This window comes from Homo sapiens, chromosome 1 (genome assembly GCF_000001405.40).
Source record: "Homo sapiens chromosome 1, GRCh38.p14 Primary Assembly".
In the NCBI taxonomy this organism is placed as follows: domain Eukaryota; kingdom Metazoa; phylum Chordata; class Mammalia; order Primates; family Hominidae; genus Homo; species Homo sapiens.
In genome coordinates, this window is record NC_000001.11 from 91,525,952 (window position 1) to 91,551,469 (window position 25,518).

At 42.4% G+C, this 25,518-nt stretch overlaps 1 long non-coding RNA gene and 1 pseudogene across 2 annotated transcripts in view; both read right to left on the reverse strand.

Annotated features, from left to right (window-relative positions):
• LOC102723436 (uncharacterized) overlaps positions 1-25,518 on the reverse strand; it is a 50,981-nt gene that overhangs the window by 7,419 nt on the left and 18,044 nt on the right. The window contains exon 4 of one of the 2 annotated variants that reach the window (XR_007066219.1): positions 13,236-13,295. This is a non-coding gene — a long non-coding RNA (uncharacterized LOC102723436). Of the gene's footprint in view, positions 1-13,235; positions 13,296-18,682; positions 21,326-25,518 lie in introns of those variants that run through there. The other variant, XR_007066220.1, reaches the window with a different exon arrangement.
• On the reverse strand, positions 6,003-9,924 carry WDR82P2 (WD repeat domain 82 pseudogene 2; annotated as a pseudogene).

The window sequence follows — 25,518 nt, forward strand, 5'->3', positions numbered from 1 at the left end:
TCTAAGAAAGTTTAATATTCAGGGCTGTTGTTTTAACTTTCATTAATGGCAAAGAACTTGGTTGATATTGAGGGGGAAGTAAAAGGGAGCTAGTGTTTTTAAATATACCCAGTGTTACAAATTAGTTCTCGGGGAATTTCAGTCCCACTGAAGAATATTGCCTCAATTTTGGACAAATATTCCCAATGTGCTAAATCAGAATTGGCAGGGAGCTTTTATATGCGTATTCTTTAGATTTTTAAGCCTTCTGAAGACCATTTTAAATAATGGGAAATGTCTCTAAAATATTTGAATTTCTAAGGATAGACTAAGAAGGTAACTAGTTAATGCCATTTCCTCTTAATCAGCTATTTTTCACTGTCAGTTTTTAAAAATTCCTAGTGCTCAGGCTCGATAAAACTGTTAAGGGTATTTTCATTTAAAAAGCCTTAGACATTTAGAACTATTAATATAACAAGCTACAAGTATTGGTTTTTGAAGCAGGCTGAGCTCTCTGGCATTTTTAATGAAACTTCCTTATAAGGAGATGATTATAGTTGTCTTAATGACCTAAATATGTGGCTCAATAATGGTTATTCCAAAGAATTAATCATGGTTTACTTCAAGATAATGAGCAAGTCATCAAGTAAAACGTTAATATCTTACTGTTCCTGGCATCAGCATTTTAGGGACAAAATGGTGTTACAGATGTCAGAATATTGATTGCATAAAATCTTGAAACCCACAAAACTCGTAGGCTTAAGTCTTAGTAATTTCTGTTGTTTATGTAATTTCAGCCCTGCACGTCACTGAAAAGTTATTTATCTTAACAAACTGGCCAAATTTGGCGGGTAATGCTGTCTGCCAGTATCTGCAGATGTATTGTTTCCGCCTACATTTGTGCATGTTGTCTGTGGTCTTTAAAGAACACTAACACCAGATAGAAATGTCAACTCTGTTCAGATTTTTTCCTATGTTCGAAGAACTGATGTTGCTGATTCCTAATTTTGTCAAATTATGTGTCTGAACTGTCTTCCTTTCTTGAAAGGTAGATATTACCAAACGTATACCAGATAAGTAATCAGAAGTAGTTAATATTGTGTCAAGTTACAGCACAGTTTTCAACAAAGTAACCACAAAGGTCAGTGCTAAGGCAAATATTTAGTAAACGATGTTTTAGCTATCTAAAGTAAAAAGGCATGATCTTAGGAAAGTGATTGCAAATTAAAAGAGAGAAAATTAAAAAACTGAAGTTTGGAAAACAAGTAATTGCAACAGTTTCAAGAGTTTAATCTGACCTGATTTTTTCTTCTGTAGAAGACAATGAACTAAAAGGACACAATTGTTCTCGATCTCTGTTTTGAGTGCTTTAAAAAATTAATATATGGAAGAGTTCAAAATGGGCAAAATAAAAACTTATTTGGAGAGCATACGCATAGTTTTTTTATAAAGCAAGAACGATGACCAGAAAACAGATGTAAATGGTTTAGAATTTCTATTTAAGCATAAACCATGTGCAAAATTACTCTTCCGAATTTAACACATCATGTGTTAGCCATTAGCTGATTCCATCTTGGACCCTACTGAAGCAATTCTTTAAGGAAAATAACAGGCTTAGCACTAGAAAACAACATATGAAGGAAAATAGGGAATAAATACTTTATAGATACATCTCTCTAGTTCTAGATTTAGAGAATGCCAGTGTTACTCCAGCAGGCAACCAAGAAGATGGATCAAGGAATGGGCTTCTGACAGACATCCTGAAGAAACTGAACACTGTCAGCTGTGGAGTGAGTAGTACAAATCAGAAAATGAAAGATCCATTGATTTCCTTCTAATCAGAATTTTTGCCTATGTTCTTTATCCACATTCTATTGATGTGTTTTTATACATGTATTCAATTATGTATTTGCCCTTTGTGTAAATTCCTTCCATAACTTCTCTGAAGACTGTAGCACATGATCTAGAAATGACTTTAGCTAGGACAAGACCAAGAAAGTAAATAAGAAACAGATGATCTGTAGCCTCACATTGTTATTTTAGCTCTGTCCTTAAGAAAAAGGAGCAGGGCCAGGGGAACCCAGCCACCTCCAAATCTCTCTAGACACTCATCTTCATGCTTTTCTACCCGGTAGAAATTTATTTCTTCTGGCGTGTTGCCATTGTCTCTATACTCAAAGCTCTGATTTACAAAATCAAAAAACAGTCACACTCTGTATGTGTAAGAGTAATCTTTAGGCAAGTATTAGCAATGTATCTTTAAAATACACTTTTCCCCGCAGTTTGTGAAATGAATGCCTGGTGTTCTGTGAGTGTCCTTTCTGTCATTTTAATTTTTTATTTTGAAACTCCATAGGTAAATGGTCATACCACATGTGTACTCCTCATAAAAAGGAATCTCACTATCACTTTTATCTTTAAAAAAATTAATTTGCTTTCTTGACAAAAGCCAAAACCTCTTTTAACAAGGGTGCTTATTTTCCTAAGTTTAGTACAATTTATTTGATTGAGAGTGACACCAAATGGTAAGAAAAATGAAATGCCTCATTCCTCTTACATAATCTCTTAACAGTAGACCACCCAACTTCCCCATAAAATGTAATTTAAATGAAGCCAAGATTCTAATGCCATGCTTTAGATTCAGAGTGGCCCCAAAGGGGCCTTTGGATTTTGTAGTTGCCATTACCTGGAATGCCTTTCCCTCTAATCTGTATATCCCACTTCCCTCTACAAAGCCTTCATTGATCAGTCCAAATGATCATGTCCTTGATTCCCTATACACAGTTTATAAGCTTCTTGAAAGTAGAGACTGTATTATATATCCCCCCACATTTTCCATTGCTGCATTTAGAAACTCGGGTCCTCAGTCAAAACTTGGGAGTTGACCAGGAATCTGACACCATGGGGTTTTCCAAGCTCCACCAGGATAATCCCATTCTAAGGACAGCTCCTGTCTTCTTAAAACATCTAAAGGATTATACTGTTTTTCCCTTGGTCATCTGTCCTAAGGCTTCTCAGCCCCGCAACCCCCATCCCATCCATCTTGGTTCTAATTTCTCTCCACTCCAAGTTGCTGGTGCTCCATTCCCATCGCTTTGACCTCAGTGAAGACAGAACAGCTGGTGGACATTTAATCTCTAACAACTTTTTACAACCTTGTATAAGAGGTAGGTAAGCAAAAATTTTACAATTCTCTATTATAGTCATGTTTTTAGCTCCTACTGTGTACCAGGCACCATAACAATTTAAAAAATCAATGTTTTAAGGTCTTGTATGTATAAAATACTATGGGAAAGCATAATATACACATTTGATTATGCTTTGCTAATGTGATTCATCTTCATACATGTGGAACCCTATTCATCTGGATTTTTCTGAGACAGCTTCAATTCCAAAAACTCGGTGTTCTGAGAATGCCAATGTTTCTGCATCCAAATTGCATTTTTAAGAATGTCTCTCTCAACTAGAAGTAGTACGAAATTGTTAGAAAGGCATTCCAGTTTTTTAGCTTTCAAAATATGTCCATTCTAATATATGTGGTACCGGAGGCTCTCTGCTTTGGGCACCAGCTGATTTGTATATTATTTAGTGAAATAGAGATTCTTCCCAATGTCTTTTGAGAACAAAATGGGATCTTAAGCACTTTCATTGAGGTCTTAAATGTAAATGTATGGATGTCACAACTGGGCAACATTTTAATGCCTCCTTACCATTTGTTGATTTAGAAATAAATCCTGATGGGAGGCAGCATAACATAAAGGAGACAGCCAAAGCCAGCTTTTCCCTGTATTGTGAGTTGCAGTTTCCTCATCTGGAAATGGGGTTTATGTTGCCTACCTCCTTGATTGGAGGAATGAGAGTATGCTCACTAAGTACAATGCTGACACAAGTACCTAATTGTTAACCTTCCCTCCTTCCTTTCTTTCCCTGGTTTCCTTTCATCTCCCCATACAGGGGAGCATTGTCTGAGAATATTCTTACATATTTCTTCCTTAACCTGTTTTAGTACATAAGGGCTTTTAAACCATTGAGTGGAAAATTGCTGTTATTTGACATACTGTGAGCCTAACATTGTAGTAATGCTAATTTTCTGCAAATTATGATCTCTCTGTCCATTAGATGGCAGGAGTTCCTTTGGCCATGTTCGGTGAGGAAGCTGCCCAAACACGTTTGGACTTGTGTATCAGTAAGGCTACTAAAAGAGAAAACAAGGTATACAAAATAAACTGGCTCTTATATAAGTAAAACAATTTTACCAGACAAAGGGAGAACTAGTAATAACCTATTACCCCCCTCATCTTTTCTAGTCACGAATTTCTTGTATTTTCTATTCCTTCTCTTCTGGGCTTTTGCATTTCCTGTTTCCTCTGCCTGGAGCACTTCTCCACCAAACCCCAGCTTCCTTCACCTAGCTAACTCCTCTTCATCCTTCAGGTCTCAGTTCAGCATCACTGCCATTAGGAAGGCTTATTTTACCTCTCCTTCTGAGTTCAGGATACCATATCCTTCCTCCACCCCATCCTGCTCATTGTATAGTACCCTGCTCATCATATAGTAGTACCCTGCTCAAATGTTGCCTCCTCACACAGGCATCCCAGTTTACTCTTACTTAGTGTCTCTTTTTCTGACATGTAGAATAGTGCTTGGGACAAGTAGACATTCAACCCTATGGTAAAAAACGCCTTTGCTCCCCCAAACTTTGTAGCTTCCAATCATTCCTATTGTGGCACTTATAGCACTACATTATCAGTCCTCTATTCTATAACACCACTAGATTGTGAGTGCCAGGACAACAACAATCAGGTCTATTTCATGCACCATTGCATCTCCAGTGCCTGGCACAGAATCAGGCCTCAATCATTATTTGTTGAAAAATGAGCACACATATAGTATACACATATGCACACAGTATAACTACAGTGAAGCAAAATTTTTTTGTTTGTTTTTTGAGGAGGCCAGTGAAGCAGAAGAGGAGAAATGGTAGCAGTGACCTATAGCAGGCTTCCTTTGCAATGACAGCATCCATATTCAGAATCAACCAGGTGGGCTTTTGATAGCAGTTACACTAAGTAGCTTTTTGTTTTTGTTTTCGTTTCGAGACGAGTCTCACTCTTTCACCCTGGCTGGAGTGCAATGGCGCACCATCTCTGCTCACTGCAACCTCTGCCTCCCAGGTTCAAGCGATTTTCCTGCCTCAACCTCCTAAGTAGCTGGGATTACAGGTGCCCAACACCATGCCCAGCTAATTTTTGTATTTTTAGTAGAGACAGGGTTTCGCCATGTTGGCCAGGCTGGTCTCGAACTTCTGACCTCAGGTGATCCACCTGCCTCGGCCTTCCAAAGTGCTGGGATTACAGGCATGAGCCACTGCATCTGGCCCACTAAGTGGGTTTTATGTTGACCTGAATTTTCAATGAATGAATTTAGAATTAATGTCAAACTTTGTAGGAAGTTGAACATGGCTTGCAGAGCAAGAATTTGGGAGGCCACAGAAGGTTTGAAGAGATAAAATAGATGTTTTTGAGCAGCCACCTGGTGACCAGATATAGTGATATAAAAATATGCAACAGAATAACCTATATGAATTTAGATAGTCAGCTGTAAGAAATGGGCTGAAATATAACAGTTAGAAAAATACTCAGATTTAAACACAAGAATACTTCACAAGATATGCTCTGGGTCTTCTTGTTTGCTTGCTTGTTTGTTTGTTTGTTTGTTTGAGACAGAGTTTCACTCTTATCACCCAGGCTGGAGTGCGATGGCACAATCTTGGCTCACTGCAACCTCCGCCTCCCAGGTTCAAGCGATTCTCCTGCCTCAGCCTCCCAAGTGGCTGAGATTACGGCATGCACCACCACACCCGGCTAATTTTTGCTCTGGGTCTTAGGTAGCAAATGATGTTCATATATGAGGCCTCCTCTGTGAAGGGCCCAGGAAAAAAGTAGAACATGGCTCCAGCCAGAGTCTCTCAGAGTCAAGAAGGGCCTAGGGTCACTTCCATTTTTTGGATCCCAAAATTTTTTTTCTGTTTAAGACTGTAACATGGAAAAAATGTTTGTATGTTAAGCACAAAAGGGACATAAAATTGTATAGACAGTAGAATAACGACTATGTAAACACACCAAAAATCTATGCACAGAAATGTGTAGGGGAACATTTAACACCAAAAGATTAACAGTGGTAGCATTTGGGTGGCAAACTGATTATTTCTAAAATTTCCAAATTTTCCTTAATAAGCAGTAAGTATAATTGCAACTGGAAATAATTTTTTAAGTACCCCTCTGGCTGAGGAGTGCAGTGTCACTATCAAATACACATCAGTGGTTTTGGCCGTGACTCCTAAGAGGATGGCAAATGCCGCTGCCCCACTCCCCAACCACCCCCAAGAGAGCATGAGCACCTCTGGCTCTGCTGAGAGAATCTTTGCAGCCCCAGCCCTCAGAATCTCTTTTCTTATTCTGCCTTATCCCCCTACCACATCATCTCCACTCACTGCCAGCTATATCTTTTCCCTTTCCTTCTTAACTCAGGAGGCAGGTTTGCAACTGCAGGACCCAAAAATAGAGGCCATGAGGTGGCATGTTTTCAAAGAACATGGTGCCTCAGTTTGGGACACACAGGAACTCAAATACAAATCATTTTCCTGCTGCTGGGTAAGTCATGCTTGGTGGCTGCTCTGGTTGCAGATACGTGAAGTTATATAGCCTTTCCTGTTAACCCACGGTTCCAAGCACTCTCTCTTAACAATTATTTCTATCATGAACTTTCTACCCTGAAAAGCCAAGGGTGGGTACTAACAATTAAGATCATTTGGTTTCTAAAAGTCCATCCTCTCTGGGAAAGCAGAGCTATACAGTGGGTGGCATCCTGCAGATTCTAGTCTACATTTGGGAAAGGTGTACACCTCTTGCACTTTCAGTTTAAGGAACAAGTCAAAAAGTAATTGCTTTAAAAAAAACAAGTGCTAGCAAGTCATAACCTTGCTGTGCCTCAGTTTCTGGATCTGCAAGGAGTGTTGCCTGCATAAATATTTGTTTAGGAACTTAGTAAAATGACATACCACTCTCTCTGCTCTAAGAGGGACATCAGCCAGCTACAGCTCATCTCACTCAGCCTGGGCCTGACCAGAGTCCCTTCCTCTTCCAAGAGAAAGCGAGGAAAAGCAGCAAGCAAGCAGACATACCAGGTAAATGGGAGTGATCTATCGTTGGCAACGAGGCCTCAAACAAACTGAAAATGCTCTGGCTCCAGCACCCTATCCCCAAATGCCACAAGCCAGACACAAAAGCCATGCAAGAGTGACTATCACACACACACACACACACAGGCACAGAGTACCACCAAGCAAAAAGGGGGATAATACTGCAGAGAGGACCCCAAAGTGCGGCTTGAGGAACACAGGGAGTCATCCAAGACCCTCACTTAGCTGCCATGGAAACAGCAAGCACTATAAGCTTTGCTTCATTCGGTCTTCCGAAATGAAAACATTAATAGGGAAGACTCACTAACACTTGTGGCAAACACTATTAGCAAGGATGCAGTCTGTCTCCTGGGCTGTGGGACTCCATCTGCTTCAGCTGAACTCTCAGAAACTACAGATGAGAGCAATACATGCATATGCACACACATGTATGCATATCTGTATGCACACAGATGTATTTAAATGAAGGTGCATACACTGTGCTAAAATACAAACAACAGAAATCAAAGATCATATGCAAAAAGGCTAAATATAACATAACACAGGCCTAGAACCAGCTCTTGGTCGGGAGCTGGGGAAAGGGGTGCTATCATCTAAAGACTATGTATACAATTTGTGGTGGGCAGGGAAGGCATCAGTGTAAACAACTCAGACTCACTTCACAACACTAGCCCACAGCAAAGTGTGATGTATCTCATATACAAAAATAGACTCCCACCTTGCTTTTGTACAAACCAAGCTTGGTAGGCATCTAGGAGGACCGTGAGTTTGTCTTGATGACAGGGCACTGCACCAGGCTGCTGCTAAATCTTCCCACCCTAGGAACTCACCTGCTACCCTCCCCCTTCCTTCCCTTTCAGGCCCTTTTCCCACCCAACATTTACAGCCTGAGGCCTGCCTGACCACCTAGCCTCACACAACTAACTGCAGTGACTAACTGCACAGCTTCCTACAAGCAAGGTCCTTCTGTATTTGTCCCTTTCTCTAACCCAAAATATAAGAAAACATTTCTGTAAATGTTTGGCACCTAAGAAACATGACGGTTGTGGATAATGCCACAAGTACACAGGGAGACCCAGTAACAAGACATGCAGGGTGAGGGCAAGGGGCACTGAGCTGCTCCAGCATTTCAAAGCCAGGACTGTGGCTTCCCATACATTTAGGGGGGTAGGAGAAGGGATGTGCGGAACTGAAGACTTCACCGGCTCCTCAGCAGCATGTACATTCAAATTGAAGATGCTTGAGCCCCACTATACCCAAATTAGGAGTCTGGTCACTCCTCTAGCAGAGCTTGGTGCAGTGACAGCTAGAAAAGTTGAGTTCCAATTGAGTCTGTTGCACCAAGAGTCCTTTTGAAGATGCTCAGCAAAGTAATTCTTTTGAGCAGATGTACAGCACATCCATGGGAAGGCCATGTAAAAGGATGTTCTCCAGCACAGTCAAATGATCCAGTCCCACTATTATCTCAGTCCCCTCTGAGTTTCTTCCTGCTGGCGGCCCTCACTGTACAGAAATAGCCAAGTAGCATCAGGGTCAGTCATCAATGGTGGGCAACCAGAAGGCCATGTTGGTACACCCGCTGGCAAAAGTCACAAACTTGGGGTTGAATTGCAAACAGGTAATTGGGCCTGTGTGTTTACCATCCAACCCAGCTACTTTTATACCACTCTCTTCATTCCAGACATGGATCTTGCCATCCTCTGAACCAATCATAACAAACTGAGAGTCTGCAGTAAATGAAGCCTCCAGTGTGACAGCTTCGCTGTTGGCATAACTGCCAAATGTGTGTATCACCACTCCTTTGAATGCACCAATGAGACGAATGAAGCTGACATTGGTGGAAATGAGGATGAGCTTGCCACCGTTGCTGATTTTAAGTGCTGTCCACTCACAAGTTCGATCATACTGCATCTTAAAGGTAGCAAATGGCCCCTTATCAAAAGAACGAAGGTCATAAAGTTTGACCATTTCAGAGTTGACACCAGCAGCAAAAATTCACCCTTCTGGATCAAAAGAACAAACTGGATTCCCCTTTATGTGCATGAGGCCCTGGCAGTTGGGAGACCGGAGATCCCAGAGTCGAATGGTCTTATTCAAGAGACCCAAAAATGAAAGTGTCATCCACAGGTGACATGGACAAGACCACCACCCTTTTGCTATGTCCAGGAAAGTATCTGATGTATTTGTTGTCATGCAAGGACAAGTAACGAATAGTATCGTCTATTTTGTTACAGCTGTAAACAACTGTGTTTGCCGCAGGAGTTTATCTGATGAGGCCACACCGTATTTCTTACTGAACAGGGTTTTGGTTTGCCCTCCTGGCAGTCAGAGAGCACGATGGAGTCGTCGTTGCTGCTCAAGGTGATCACCTCGCTTTTAGGGCTGAAATCGAAGCAGTTAATCTTGTCCCGAGTTTTCGCAGAACACGTTGGCGATACAGAAGCTTCGAAGCAGCATGCGGTGGGTCAGCTTCATGGCTGCGGCTGGGGAAGGCAGCGGCGGCACACGGCCAGGCGGTGGCGAGCGGACAGGCTGCCTAATGGCCAACCTGGGCGAGGCGGGCGCCGCGCCGGCAGCTAGGGGGAAGTCGGCCAACAATTGGGCCACCTCCTCCTCTTCCTCCTGCTTGGACGACGGTCTTCCGCCTGGACTGTGGAGCCTCGCCGACCGTTCGTCCTCACAGCCACCCCATGGGCAACCAGCGCGGTGCAGGCTCATTGTGTCTGCGACAGGCAGAAGCCGAGCGGGTCCCAACGTTTTTTTTAAAAAAGTATTTTTTTTTAGAGACAGGGTCTTGCTATGTTGCCCAGGCTGGACTCAAACTCCTGGGCTCAGGTGATCCCTCTGCCTCAGCCTTCCTAGTACCTGAGATTACAGGTACATGCCACTATGCTCAGCTCTGTTATTTTTTTTTTAAATGACAAAGGAGGTTTTTGAAAATGATAGTTTTTAAATATTTTCATCCCCCTGCCTCAGCCTCCCAAATACCTGGGATTACAGGTACATGCCACCATACCCAGCTCTGTTATTTTTTTTTTTAAATGACAGGCCGGACACGGTGGCTCACGCCTGTAATCCCAGCACTCTGGGAGGCCGAGGGTGGGCAGATCACGAGGTCAGGAGTTCGAGAAAACCTGGCCAATATGGTGAAACCCCATCTATACTAAAAATACAAAAATTAGCCGGGCGTGGTGGCAGGCGCCTGTAATCCCAGCTACTTGGGAAAGTGAGGCAGGAGAATGGCTTGAAATCGGAAGGCAGAGGTTGCAGTGAGCCGAGATGACGCCACTGCATTCCAGCCTGAGTAACATGAGCAAAACTCCGTCTCAAAAAAAAAAAAAAAAAAAAAAAAAAAAGCAGATTTTTGAAAATGATAGTTTTTAAATATTTTCATTTAACAAATTAATACCTTTAACACATACGTAATTTACAATGAATTTAGGTATTAAGTTGAGCCACATGAAACTGTTGATATTTGATCTTTTTTTAACCTAGAAAATCAATAATGTCATGTAGTTCAACCTAATACAACCTCATTTTGAGATAAATGTTAGGAGTCTATATTTGAGGCCCTGCCTTTAGTGACTATGAGGCCCTAGCTAAGTGCACTGCTGCCCATCCCAACTCTGCCAATATTGATTATAGCCTTAAGGCTGAGGGCATCCCATCTGTGTATGCGAATGTTCAACCTCTAAACAAAAGGGGTCTAAGCCCTCTGACCAAACAGTGGAGACTGAATACTGGGCTAAAAGAAAACTAAAATCTAGAATTCTAAATTCTAGGCAAGCCTATAGTATATATTAAGGACAAGCAGATGTCTGATATGTCTTTGTAAGTTTTCCAAGTACAAATGCTGGAGGCTTCTCTGTTCCTGAGTTCTCAAGAAGGAAATGCAGCAGTGCCTGATGCCTAGTGGGCCTACAGAAGTATTAACTAACTGGCTCATTTTCTCCTTCACTCAACTGATTTTGTCCTCACTCTGTAATGCTAAAGATGAGACCGGTTCTGTTTTACTCATTCTCCCCAACTTCAACAGTGAAAACAGTGTTAAACAACTCCAGGGTCTTTCCTTTCCCTTTCGCTCTGCTCTCAAACATACACCATCCTCCCTCCTTAATTTCCTTGCCCACTTGCTTCTCCAGCCTTCCCTTTCTCTACAGCCTTTTTGCCTCTGCCTCCTCCTGTGCCTCTGGTAACCACTGGGTAGTCAATGAAGAAGCCAGTGCATTCCCCTTCCCCTACATCATATCCTGAGCTCATCTTCCCTGACCTTGAGAGGGCATGAGGTGCACCTTGGTGCTCTCAATAAACCAAAGTTGTTTTAATAAGCCCAGTGAGACTAAGATATTTAAATTCTTCTTCTCACTCTCATCACCACAATGTGAGATGGATCCAAATATTTTGCAACAGCATAGCCTTGGGCCAGCAGCTCTTGAGTTATAAAATGTTGCAGCAAACTCTCCTTGCATAGCAATGTTATCACCCAAGAACTCCATCCTTAACCCTATCAGCAAGAATTCTAGAGTACTTTCTCTTTGCCATGCTCACAGATTTTCAGAAGTTTTTACCTGATGGAACCAGCATCTGAAATCTTCATAGAAGCATAGGCAAGACTCCTCTAGCAATTCCTTTTTTCCTTCCCAGATACCATGTTTATGCAATCTATCCAAGCAGGAGCTTAGCAGTGGCACTTGAGTCCACTGAAACTAATGCTTCCCTAATTGCACAATTAAGAGGTGGCAGACATTTGAATTGGCAGCTGGACTGCAGTAGGTGGAAATAAGAACACTGTGTTCCTTTGCATGTGAAGTCATGTATAGTTTTTCCAGCATATGATGAAGTTGCAATAAGAAGGAAAATCTGGACTTTAGCTTTTTGGTTTTCCTCTGGATATAAATTTTAGAGAATCTCTCCATGCTGTAAAACCTTATAGCACTTTGTATCTGTTGTGGAGCATCATTTCCCTTATCCTGCCTCTCAGTGTCATGATTTGTATGCCTGTCTTATCTTTGAGCAGCTGCCAGGTCTTACCGATTTTCTTATCCCTTTACCCACCCAATGTCTAGCGTAAGTCCTTTGAATGCACAGAGTTAGCATTCAGTGACTATTTATTGAAATATTAAAGTTGCTTTGCTTTGGAGCTGTTTTTATCTAACCCTTCCACTGCTCCATTTTATTTAGAAGGACTTAGGATTTAATATATTAGAAAGATGACTGCAAGGGATTCATATTGGCAGGTCTCAATGGTTGCATTTTCTTTGGGAAACTCTTAATACAAAGTAGTGGTCCCCACTGATCACATCAGTGTTCTGAGACCCTACCTTGTCTCCCAAACACATCCTACCATAGCTGATTGATCCAGGGGATATACCTAACAGGATGGGTCCCTCAAATTGTCACTTTCAGATATTTAAAACCTTAAGGGAGTGGGTTTGAGCTGAGTTCTAGTAAAGACTTGGATCCTGAGGGAAGATTCAAAGGCTTATCACTAGGGCTGCCCTTGTTCCCACTTCACCTGAGATCTGGTCTTTCTGCTCCTCCTTAAATCCTTTGAGCTGCCCCAGCATCTTTCTGGAAAATCCCTTTTGTTCTCAAGTTAACTAAGATCCATTTCTGTTGCACACACTCAGTTGACCTAAGCCAATAGAATGATTGGAAGGGGCACAAAGAAAGCCTGCTGGGCTTCGAGCCTGATGCCGCCTTCAACTTGCTGTGTGATATAGTATAAGTCACAAACCAATCTGAACCTCACACTCTCATCTTTAAGTCTATATTGTCACCAGAGATTCAAGACAATGCCAGCAAGAATATATTGAAAGATGGATAGAATTGTAAGATGCAGATGTGGCAGAGAAAGTTTATTCTGGGAACGAGGAAAGGCACAGGAAAAGACATGGGCATAGGAAAGCAGGGACCTGTTTGGGAAGCAGAAGGAACCCCTCTGGAGCATAGGGTTTCTTGTTTTAAAATGTAGTTAATGGTTTTATTATTATTATTTAGGTACAGCAAGGCCAGCAGACTAGATGACTGTTATCAAAAAGATAGTTATACTCACAGATGCCAAGAGAAGCGGACATGCCACACCACAGGGGGCCACTCGGGGAAGCACCAGAGTCTGTCAGGAGGTGGAAGGAAAGGAGAAAACATGAGCAAGAGCCTTTATGGTGGTTTCCATGGGAAAGAATGGGCAAGGCAGATTAAGCAGATTAAGGATTGACTAGTTTGAATAATTTCAGCTAGTTCAGGGGCACAGGGACTACTCTTAGTTGTCTGGTAACTGGCCCTGGAGTGATTAGGGCAGGGGATTATGGTCCTAAGTATGACAGCCCAATAGAGAAGGTATTTGCAGGTGTGGGCTCTGGATTGGGTGGTTTGCCTTTGAAAGGTATGCTCAAGGGCAAGTTGTTTACAGTCTCTAGGAATTGGCTAGCCCTGGAAGGGGCAGCAACTCCGGGGTCTGCAAGGCCCCAGATGTCAAAGCATTAAAATACAAAAAATAAATAACATGGTTAATATATCCCTGTAGGAAAGTAGCAGACTAGAAGGAGGAAATGGAAGCTGAGTCTAGACCATAAGGGACCACAAATGTTAAACTAAGGAGTTTGGTTTTCATTCTGCAAATAATGTTCTGTACACCCTGAAGGATTCTGAGCAGAGGAATAATATAAGAGCTGTATATTAGGAATACTACTTTGGTGTCTTTGGACAGGATGGGGTAGCTTTAAGGACCAGATCAACAGATCCGAGTAAATACTGGATGTGGGGTTGAGGGAAAGATAGGAATAAAAACCAACTTCAATATTTCAAGCCTTTGTAACTGTAGGATAGTGCTGCTATTAATAGATACAGGTGTCTGAGAAGAAGACATCTCTAACAGGAGACTTAAGAGGTAAGTGGGCAGAAATTATGAGCTGTGCTTCAGAGATGTTGATGCGACCATGTCCAACAGTGGTTCTCGTGTAATGTTGCTTGTGTGATTATCTGGCATTGTATGTGTCTCGACTCCCCAGACTGTCAGAAGAACCTCAAAGGACTTTCATCTTATTGTCTTTGTCCCTCCCTCATACCTAGTGCAGTGCCTCATTCCTCTGGTCCTTGCCAAGTTCCTTCACAAGGCTAGCACAGGCTATTTCTCAGGGGCATATCTACCAGAATTTGTCCACATGAGAGAGGAACCACTGTGGGCATTCTGACTGCCAGCCTGGGGTCTAAAGATGTCATAAGCTTACACACTGAGGACATGGATGAGACTTAGCTCTAGTGAGCCATGGTTTCCTCATACTAAATAAAACCCTTTCTGAATGTTCTCTAAGATCTTTTCTAGTGCTAAAATTTGTAAATAATTTCTGAGATTTTGTAATGCTAGAAAGGTACCTAGAGCTACCTAGCAGATCAAGTAAATTGCCTACCCTTGTTTTGTCAATATCAAGTTTAGGCAGGCAACCTCTTTCATCTTGACTCTTACTAAACCTTGTTAACCTAAGAAACAATTAATTCTAAAGGTATTAAAGTTTCTCTATTCTTTCCCCATCCTCTTAACCTTGTTCTTTCCTTATGCCCAACACAAGGAACCCCCACCAAGTTGGCTTATCTATTGGGGTGAGTAGGTTCCAATTTATGCTTCAAACACAACAGGCAGATGTCAATCACTGAACCAATTCAGGACTTCTTTGGAGTATCCTAATTCTACTACAAGAAGTGGATATGAGTGGGCCATAAATGGCAAAGAAAACATGCATGCAAAATGTAAAGTGGTATGATGAAGAAGAAAACAGTCAGGAGAAGGAAGGTGGAAAGGAAGTCACAGTTTTTAAGGGTCTTCCATACATGGCCCTCTACTAGATTTCCTGGGTCCTCTTGTTAACCACTCCCACAGTGCCTTGAACTTCAATTTTAACATCATCAGTGTTGTAAACATATTCAACATCTCTCTTCCTGTTAGAATGTATGCTCCATGGAGACAGAGACTATACAATGTCTGTCTTATTTACATCTCTATTCTGGTTCCTCCCAGAGTTCCAGGCAAATGGTGGCGGCTGGGTAAGTATTACATGAATAATTGAATAAACACATTTAATCCTGACAGTGCTGCAAAGTAACAATATCTCAACTTTACAGAAGTTGAGGCTCAGAGGGATATAGTGACTTGCCTGTGGTCACATGGCTAGAAAGTTGAAAAATCAGAAGACTGAAAGTGGGTACCTGAAGCCAGGCTCCTTCGATTCCCCTGCAAGTCCCTCATGAAAACTCTCCCATGCAGTGTCACAGTCATGTTGTTTGTTCTTTGTAACAGAAATGGGCCACAGCTAACTTAAGCAAAACAGTTTAATGGATGATATCAGGGGTTCACAGAATGGAAGAACAGTTAAGAAACTGGGGCAGAGCTGAGCTGAGATTTCAGGAGCAGGAGTGAGTAAAGGTTGAGTGAGGTCCATGGAATTAGGTCTTCTCCAACAGGTTTTTTTCCATTCTTTCTCACCACTCAGCTCAATTCAGAGAGAGAGAATTTAATTGGCTAAACGAGGGCAGAATGCCTTATTGACAGCCCCACCAAGACTGTATGTAATGGGGAAGAAGAAATTCCCCCCAAATAATCCAAGTGATCTCACCAGAAAAAAGTGGGAGTGTGTGCTAGGTATCCAAAAAAATAGCAGTGTCCACTACAAACTGCTACATGGAGACTTCCAACATCCTGAACCAGAAATGAGTCCCCCTGGCAAGCTGCTGCTCTCCCGGTCCACCCCCAGGAGGTGTTCATGGAGGATGGAGGGATAAATGGGGACCTATCACAGTGCCATCCTTGAATGCCAGCAGGGCTCCTCCTTAGAAGTTTCTAAAGTGTTGAAGAAAGTGAGAACTCACTTGTCTCCCATCCAACACCCACCCGCCCCCCAGCTAACCTGACTAGGCTGTTTTCTTGTTGTTGCTTCTGTTTTTGTTCACACCTTCCTGTGGGATCATTTCAAACCCCTATTTCCTGATGACCCAACATCCTTCTGCAATCAACTAGCAGGGGGTGAAGCCTGCCAAAACCTCAGGTAGCAGCGCTGTTGGGCACCATTTTCAGCAACATCCTGTGTTCACAACTTTCCAGCTCAGCTCCAAATGCCAATTTTGGTTTGTGAAAATTTCCATGGCCCCCTGCTAAGCTACTCTTCTCATATCCCAGTTCACAGGCACAGAGATGTTGATCTCTCACGCTGGGCCCCAGCCACCACCCTGTCCTCTGTGCCATCATTACCTTATACCCAGCATTTTTTATGGTGGTAATAAGCTCTGACTTCGGAAGCACCCCAACAACCCCTTTTGGGAGGGGGACGTATCTAGGAACCCCTAGATATGGAACCCTTTTATAGTCACATGGTGTAATGGTAGCAGAACCAGTACTGGAAACCAAGGCTTTTGGCCACGGTCCCAGCCTTCTTCACTAATAAGGCCGCTTATTCAGTTCAGTGAGAGGCTTATAATTCTGCTATAATATACCCAGAGAACCCACAATTCTTCAGTTACAACAAAGCTCTGAATTTTCTGTAGAAGTAATTGGTTTCAGAATTTTCCCTCACATCCCATACATTACCTTCAATATACATTATTTTTATATTTTTAATTCTTTTTTTTTCTTTTTTTCTTAGAGACAAGGTCTTGCTCTGTCACCCAGGCTGGAGTGCAGTGGCGCAATCATAGTTCACTGCAGCCTCAAACTCCTGTCAACTGATCCTCCCACCTCAGCATCCTAAATAGCTAGAACTATAGATGCCACCATGCCTGGCTAATTTCTTATTTTTTCTAGAGTCAGGGTCTTGCTATGTGGCCCAGGCTGGTCTTCAATTCCTGGCCTCAAGCAATCCTCCTACCTAGGTCTCCCAAAGTGCTGGGATTACAGGCATGAGCCACTGCACCCAGCCAATATATATATCATTTTTAGTGGTACAACTACCTTGAGATTTACCATTAGCCTCATTTCAGAGGGAAAAACTGAGGCTTGAAGAGGGTAAGTAATTTGTCTCAAGTTCATATAGTAAGTAGTAGAACCAAGATTCAAACCTAGCATGCTGGCTCCAGAGCCCCTGTGTTTTTTCATTGCACTTAAATTCATTACTATCTCCCATAGGTGTTTTCTGCCCTCCTATAACCGCACACACACACATACACACAAACACACACACACACCCCACCCTCTCCCCAAGGACCTATCTAGCAGTCTCTCTGTCCTTTAACAGCTTTATTGAAGTATAATTTATATACCATAAAATTTACCTATTATAAGGGTACTGTTTGATTTTAAGTAAATTTATACTCTTGTACAATAATCACAATTATAATAATAATTCAACTTTAGAATACTTCTATATTTTGCCTTTTCTAGAAATTTCACATAAGTGAAATTATACAAAACATTTTTTATCTGACTTTTTCTACTTAGCATGTTTTTGAAATTCATCCATATTGTTGCATGTATCTGTAGTTCATTCCTTTTTATTGCCAAGTAGTAGTCCATTGTATGAATATACCACATTTTGTTTATACACCAGCTAAAGGACATTTGGATTATTTCCAGCTTGGGCTAGTACGTATAACATGGCTATGAACATTTGCATATAAGTCTTTATGTGAATCTGTGTCTTCATTTCTCTTGGGTAGATATTTAGGAGTTTAATTGCTGGGTCATATAGCAAATATATTTAACATTTTGAGAAACTTCCAAACAATTATCTAAATTAGCTGTACCATTCTATGGTTTCAATTTTGCCACATCCTTGCTGACACTTGATATTGTCAGTGGGTATTAATAGTTCATTATAGTTTTAATTTGAATTTCTCTAATGAGTAATGATGTTGAACATCTTTTTATATGCTTATTCACCATTCATATGTCTGCTTTGGTGCAATATATATTCAAATCTTGCTCATTAAAAAAATCAGTTTGTCTTATTGAATTCTTTATATTTCTGAATATAAATACCTTATCAGGTATATGATTTGCAAATATTTTATTCAAGTCTGTGGCTTGCCTTTCCATTTTCTCAATGGTATCTTCTGAAAAACAAAAGTTTTAAATTTTGATAAAGTTGAGTTTATTAATTTTTTTAAGGATCACGTTTTTGGTATCACATCTAAGAAGCCTTTGCCCTAATCCATGTTTCTCCTATGATTTCTTCTAGGAATTTTATAGTTTAACTCTTACATTTAGGCTGTGATTCATTTTTAGTTAATTTTTGCATATGGTTGTTGTGAGGTAAGAATGTAAGTTTTTTTTTTTTTGCACAGGAATATCCATTGCTCCAGCATCATTTATGGATGACTATTGAATTACCTTGACACCCTTGTCAAAAATCAATAGACCATAAATGTAAGAGTTTATTTCTGGAATATACTCTGTTCTATGGATGTATGCCTATCTTTAAGTCAATACCACACTGTTTTGATCACTGTAGCTTTATTTTTTAAATCCTCCAACTTTGTTCTTTTTCAAAGTTGTTTTGATTTCTCTAGATCCTTTGCATTTTCATATAAATTTTAGTATCAGCTTGTCAAGTCCTACAAAAAACAACCTATTTTGATATGGGTTGAGCTGAAACTATAGTTTAATTTGGGGACAATTACTATCTTAACAATATTGAATCTTCCGATCCATGAACATTGTGTGTCTTTCCATTTGTTTAGATCTTTTTAGAATTTTCTCAGCAATGTTTTAAGGTTTTCAGTACATAGGTCTTACATTTGTTTTGTTAAAATTATTCCTAAGTATTTTATTCTTTTTATGCTATTATGAGTGGAATTGTTTTCTTAACTTCATTTTTGGACAGTTTGTTATAGTGTATCCTGCAACCTTACTAAGTTTGCTTATTCGTTCTAGTAGATTTTTGTAGATTTCTTAGGCTTTTCTACATACAAAATCATGCCACCTGTAATAAGGACAGTTTTACTTCTTCCTGCTTCAGTCTGCGTGTCTTTAATGTCTTTTCTTGCCCTTTTGCACTGGCTAGGATCTCCTGTATAAAGCTAAATAGAAGTGGTGAGAGCAAACATTCTTGAATTTTTCTGCGCCGTCCTCTGCTCTGTTTTCAAAGGGAATCCTGATGCCTCTTGCAGAGGAGAAGGTAAAGCTTTTCTGCTTCCTTAGGGGGTCCCTTCAGTATCTCCTCCTGCTTTCTTGCCTAAAAGACTTATGCAACTCATAAGATACCATCTCTCTCTCTCTCTCAGAGGTCCCTCTGGAGCAGCCTCATCCTCAGCACCAGGGTTTTAGTACCTTGGAGGAGTAGCACTTGCTTTTTGCCCCCTTCCATGGGGATTCAGTGAGAAGGAATTAAACATTAACTAAAATGTTTGGAACTCTCATGAAAGATCTTTCCTAAACCCCAAAAGGAGCTGAGAATGAGTCTCAGGAGAAGACCCTGACAGCTGAGACCTTCCTAGGCACTGTGGGATTCTGCAATTAGCCCCCATCTCTACCCTCCAGCTGCCTGTGCTCTCTTCTGTCCCATGCTCTTCAGAGCACCTGCTACACTCCAAACAGGCTAATCCCTCTAAAACCCCATAAACCCACCATGCTCATCCCCCGGGCTTTGGCTATGCTGCCCCTTCCCTCCTGGAACGCCTTCCCACTTTCCTCTGCTTGTCCATATCCTGCCCGTCATTCAGCACCTAACTCCAGTTCTTCCTCTTCCACAAAGCTTTTCCTGATCACTCTGGCCCTCAGAGATATCTCTACAGCTGTACTCTGACTGCCACCCAATTTAGCACCTGATCACAGCGGGTTTGTACCATGTAATTAGTATAGGTTTTCCCTGGCCACTTGGATGTAAGAAACTTCACATTTATTTGTTATACATTATGATCTCTGGTTTGGCGCCAGCCACGAACACAATGAGAGAAATCCAGTATCAGCCACTAACAGGGACGCCCCCTCCTTTCTGAGGTTCCTGTAGTGGCTGTTGGGGCTGGCCTTTCTTTCAGCACACTATTATCACTGCCAGGTTATTCACTGTCTATGCCCCAAAGCCCATTAGGTAGGCAGTGCCGCTATGCTGAGCACAGTGCGACTTCTCAGCAAATCCTTGTTGACAAACTGACATAGGCTGTGCTAAGGTCCCCTCCTACTACCCTCCCAGGACCTGTTCTTTGTACCTCTAGGCACCGCGCAGTTTCCCAGTGCGCCTCGAGTCCTCGCAGGGCCGGGCAGTGGCCACCCCGGATTGGCTAGCCTTGCCCCCTCGTGATCATGGAAGTGGGCGGGGAGCGTGGTGAGCGGATGCTGCTGGAGTGCTTGAACCCCGAGGCCTGGAGCGGCAGTCAGCACCCCCACGCCGAGTCCCTGGCAGTCCCGGCCTTCCGGGGGCGGCCCTGGGGCCTCGGGCAACTGCATCCACGGCCCTGGAGCCCATCATGTCCCATGGTTCACGTTTTTCCGCCTGGAAACTGCATGCCTGTCTTTCTGCTTTGCCAAAGTTTCCTTCGCACGAGGAGGGCCCTGAATTACAGAAGTCGCTTTTCTCCAGTCAGTTCAAGCCAGCCTGGCGCGAGTCCCTCATTCTCCTTTGTCAACGAGGCAAAGACTCAGTTGTTCACCCAACTGTGTCTTGCTGGGGGGCAGCCCTTTCCCTGCCCTTCCCTCTCTCTCAGAAGCCCCAAGTGGGCCTTTCCCCGACCCTACTCTGAGCGCGTGGAAAATCTGCTTCGGGCGCAGATCTCGAGTAGTTGGCCTCCCCTCATTTCCGTCTTTCGCTTCTGCCCGCGTGGGGCCACTTTGGTATAGGTGGGAATTAAGCCGGGGAGGGAGGAGTAGGTCGGAACAGTTTGCAGCTGGCGGCTCGCTGATTGGGTGTTATTTTACAGCTGGGCAGAAATGACCGCGGTAGCACTCCTGGGGAGGCCTCTAAAGCTGCAGACACGATGTGTCGCGGGACCATCCAGTTCTGGCCCCGTGCAGGAGGACAGGACGCCGTCTGGTCGCTGCCCTGGGCGCTCAACATGGGAGCTGCCAGAGGAGAGCGCCCTGTGAGTGCCTGACAAATGGAGGTATTTCTTTCCAGGTTTTACAACCCGATGTATTTTCAGGGAGGACCTTCCTAGGTACCTCCACTTCTCAGTCTCTCAACTCAGCAGCCTCCATCCATTTCCACGAATCCGCTGGACTCGCTCCTGCAAAACACGGTGTGAAATTGACTTCTAACTGGAAGCCTTTCTTTTCCAACCCCATCCACTGCAATTCTTCTGTTTTCAGCACTCTGGTGTTCTGTGTTTTTTGTTGTTGTTGTTTTTGTTTTTGTTTTTTTCATGTGTTTAGCTCGGGCTTTGAAAGAATCTGAAATCTTATCTTTTAATTTCAAATTCCCTAAAGCCACAGAGTGCATCTTTCCCTGTCCCACACAGTGCCTAGTTCAGTTCTTGTCCCACAGTATATTAACCAACTGCCACAAAGCCTCATGTATGCCACACAACTAAACACCAGGACGTCTGAAGGAAAAACTCTAGAAAACTCTAGAGTGGCTCTTTGGAGCAGGAAGAGCTGCTACACTCCCAATGCCCTCTGAGAGCTGCCAGGTCCCATGATGCCTTCTCTTGTGTGTAGACTGAGATGTATTCATTAAGGGTAACACGGTGATTTTTTGTTTGTGCTCCCTTAATTAAAAAAAAAAAAAAGATTTGGTGGGAAAGGCAGATGGAAGTTCTTGAAGGGGGCTACTTCAGAGCAGGTCTTTCTGAGCCCCCTTGAAGCACACCGTGTGTGTGTGTGCGTGTGTGTGTGTGTGTGTGTGTGTGTGTGTGTCTGGGACCCCAGAGTCAATCCAGATGATGCTGATATAGTTACATTTGAGAACCAGTGGTAGGTAGATCTTTGCTACTCTAGTCCTCAGGCAAACAGCATCAGCCTCACCTAGGAGTTTTTAAGAAATGCAGAATCTCAGGACCCAGCCAGACCTACTGCATAGAAGTCTGCATTTTAACAAGATCTCTAGGTGATTGGTGTATACACAAAAGTGTAAGAATCCCTGCTTTAGTAATGACTGCTCTGGGAACAAGCTTAAACTTGGGCAACCTGGACCTATGGTCACCCATCCTATCAGGGAGATAGATGGTAGATGGTGGGCTAGGGACAGGGTGAGAGGAAATCTGAGCAGCCACAGATCTGGGGTCCTCTCCCTCCCAAACTGGCCCCTGATTTAGAAATATGGTCTCAAGAGCCTATCTTTCTGTCCCCAGTTTTCACCGTAGACAACTTTCTAATAATTGAACTGTCTGTCCTGCCTGCTAGTTGCCTTTGTTATTATCGTAATCATTAGTGGTTGCTGGAAGTGGGGCAGGGTGTGTTTAGGTGAGCAGGGGGGAGTGTTAATGAGCCCATGGGTCTGGTGTGAGGGGGAGATCCCTGTACCTATCACAACCCTGTGCCTTTATTGCATGCTCCTTTACACACCCTCCACCCCTTGAAGAGGCTTCCCCTGGCCCCCTGCCCAGTAACTTACTTACTATGAATATTCCGTTGCTACATCCTGTTTCTGCTTTTGACTTTGCATCCTGTTCCAGACCCTTAGCCTGCTCCCTAGCCTCTAATCTGACTCTTCCATTAACTGTCAAACCTTCAACAGATAATTCTTTTAGCATCTGCTGTGCACACCAGTAAGTGCTGAAGATTCAAGGTGAACCCAAGACACAATCCCTGCCTTATGGGGTTTACAGCATTGTGTGGACATCCATCATTCACTCAGTCCTCACTGCACCAGAGACGACACTAAATGCTTCACTTGCATAATCTCACTTTTCTCAGTCATAACTGTCAGGTTGTCCCCACTTCATAGTTGAAGAAGCCATGGCTCAAAGACTTAAATAATTTTCCCAGGGTCATAGCTAATTGGTGGCACAGGCAGGAGGATTTAAGCCTAAGTCTGATTGCCTCAAAAATGTCTTAAACCACTCTGTAAAAGACTGTTCTTCATCACTGTATCTCCAATGCTCAGGACAGTGCCTGGTATGTATCACACAATCAACATTTGTGGAAGGAAGGAAGGATGTTGTTTTGAGCCGTCTCTTGGGCTCCACCCTTCAAATACAGAGCCACCTCAAACCCAGCCCTGAGGTTTCTCAGTACCTCTGGGCACCACATCTTCCTTCCTCACAGATCCCCCAGCCCCCACCCTACATCTGAGGCCCTCCCTAATTTATCCCTGCCTCTTAGGGGCAGCCAGCCAGACCAAGAATCCCTTCTTCATCTTGTCTGAGTATAATACATGTAAAGTTGATCCAAGCTTTCTACCTAGAAAACACACACACACATCCTGAAGCTTTATAATTTACACAGCAGTAATAAAAACGTTGAAGGAATTTAAGTAGATGGATGTGGCACAACCTCAGCTCTCCTGATGTTTTACAGACTGCCACACTATACCAGCTGCCTCCCACAATGGCTGTGAGGTGAGAACCTGAGGTGAGAACACACCCTTCCTTCAAGCTACTTCACACTGCCTCCTCAGCATAAACATAAGATTTTCCCTTTTCTATTCCTCTTAAGAGAAAAAGTATAATATAGGCCAGAGGAAAAGTATAATATAGGCCAGAGAAAAAATATAATATAGGCCACAGAGACTGACTTAAGTTTCTTGTGGCACAGATGAGGATTATACTGTGGCATTTCTCTTTTCTGTGACTGGGTGGGCCACGGTGAAATAAAGTCCTAAAATGTATTAAAACTGTTTAGACCACCTAAATTAGAATCCTTCATTTGTTAGGCCTTTCAGAAACATTTCTCGGGACTGCAAAATATATGGTAGGGATTCATTCCATTTTATAGATCAGCAAACTGAGACAGAAGGTGAGTGAGGGAATTGGAATCATACGAATGGTTATGGCAGGATACAGGGCACAGAGACTTTGGCACACTTTACTTTTTCCACTATACCACATACTGTCTCCTGAATTGAACATTTTCATCTTCTTTATTATAAAATGATTCAAATAAAATATATCTATATGTTTTCTTATTTCACTTTTTTTTTTTGGTCACTCTAGAACTGTAAGCATTGGGGGTACAGGGGAGGGATAGCATTAGGAGATACACCTAATGTTAAATGACGAGTTAATGGGTGCAGCACACCAACATGACACATGTATATATATGTGACAAACCTGCACGTTGTGCACATGTACCCTAAAACTTAAAGTATAATAATAATAAAAAAAGAACTGTAAGCATTTTTCAGACATTCACAATGGGAAATTTGAATGTTAAAGTTGGAGAGACTGCGGTTAATAGCTTGAATTTTAGAGTCAGGAAAACCTGTCTGTACTCAGGCAAGATAATTGATATGGTTTGGATCTGTCCCCACCAAATCTCATGTCGCGATGTAATCCCCAGTGTTGGAAGTGGGGCCTGGTGGGAGGTGATTGGATCATGGGGGTGGTCCTTCATGAATGATTTAGCACAATCTCCTGGTGCTGTTCTCATGATAGTGAGTGAGTTCTCACAAGTTCTGGTTGTTTACAAGCGTACAGCATCTCCCCCCTTCTCTCTCTCTTGCTCCTGCTCCCACCATGTAAGACAGGTCTGCTTCCCCTTTTCCTTCAGCCATGATTGTAAGTTACCTGAGGCCTCCCCAGAAGCCGAGCAGATGCCAGCATCATGCTTCCTGTACAGCCTGCAGAACCATGAGCCAATTAAACATTTTTTCTTTATAAATTACCCAGTCTCAGATATTTCTTTATAGCAATATTAGAATGGACTAATGCAGTAATTAACCTCAGTTTCCTGACAGGTAGATAGAAATTACTAATATGGCCCCCAGCGGCACATGTTCCAAGGAATTAAATGAGATGATATATGATAAGCACTTGGCAGAGTGCCTGGCGCATAGTAAGCACTAAATAAATGTTAGTTGTTGTAATTGTTACTAGAACTATTATGTGAGTCCCTCAGTTTCTCTGAAGAATCCTCCTTGTTTTGTGACCAGCAGTACTTGACCTTTATGGCCAAGATCCAGGCAATTTGTGTCTATTTTTTTCTTGACCTATTTTCTGGCTATAGCTTCTAGTTTCAAGATTGTAACCACATCCGTTTAGTCTTTACACTTATTTCAGACATGATATTTAAACAGATTTTAGTTGATTTTCTGAAGATAACATTAAGTCACAAAACAGACCCCCTACATGCTCTTAAAATCTGATAACTCAGTTCTACAATGCCCATGCCTCAGGGTCCAGAGAAGTTAGATCAGGAAGTGGAGGCACAAGCCCAAGAATTCATATTCCTTTTGAAAAGAGAATTTGCTTACTTTAGCTTCTAAAGCAATAATTGCATCTAGGGCATCAAACGATTGGAGACATATTGCAATAAAGGGGTT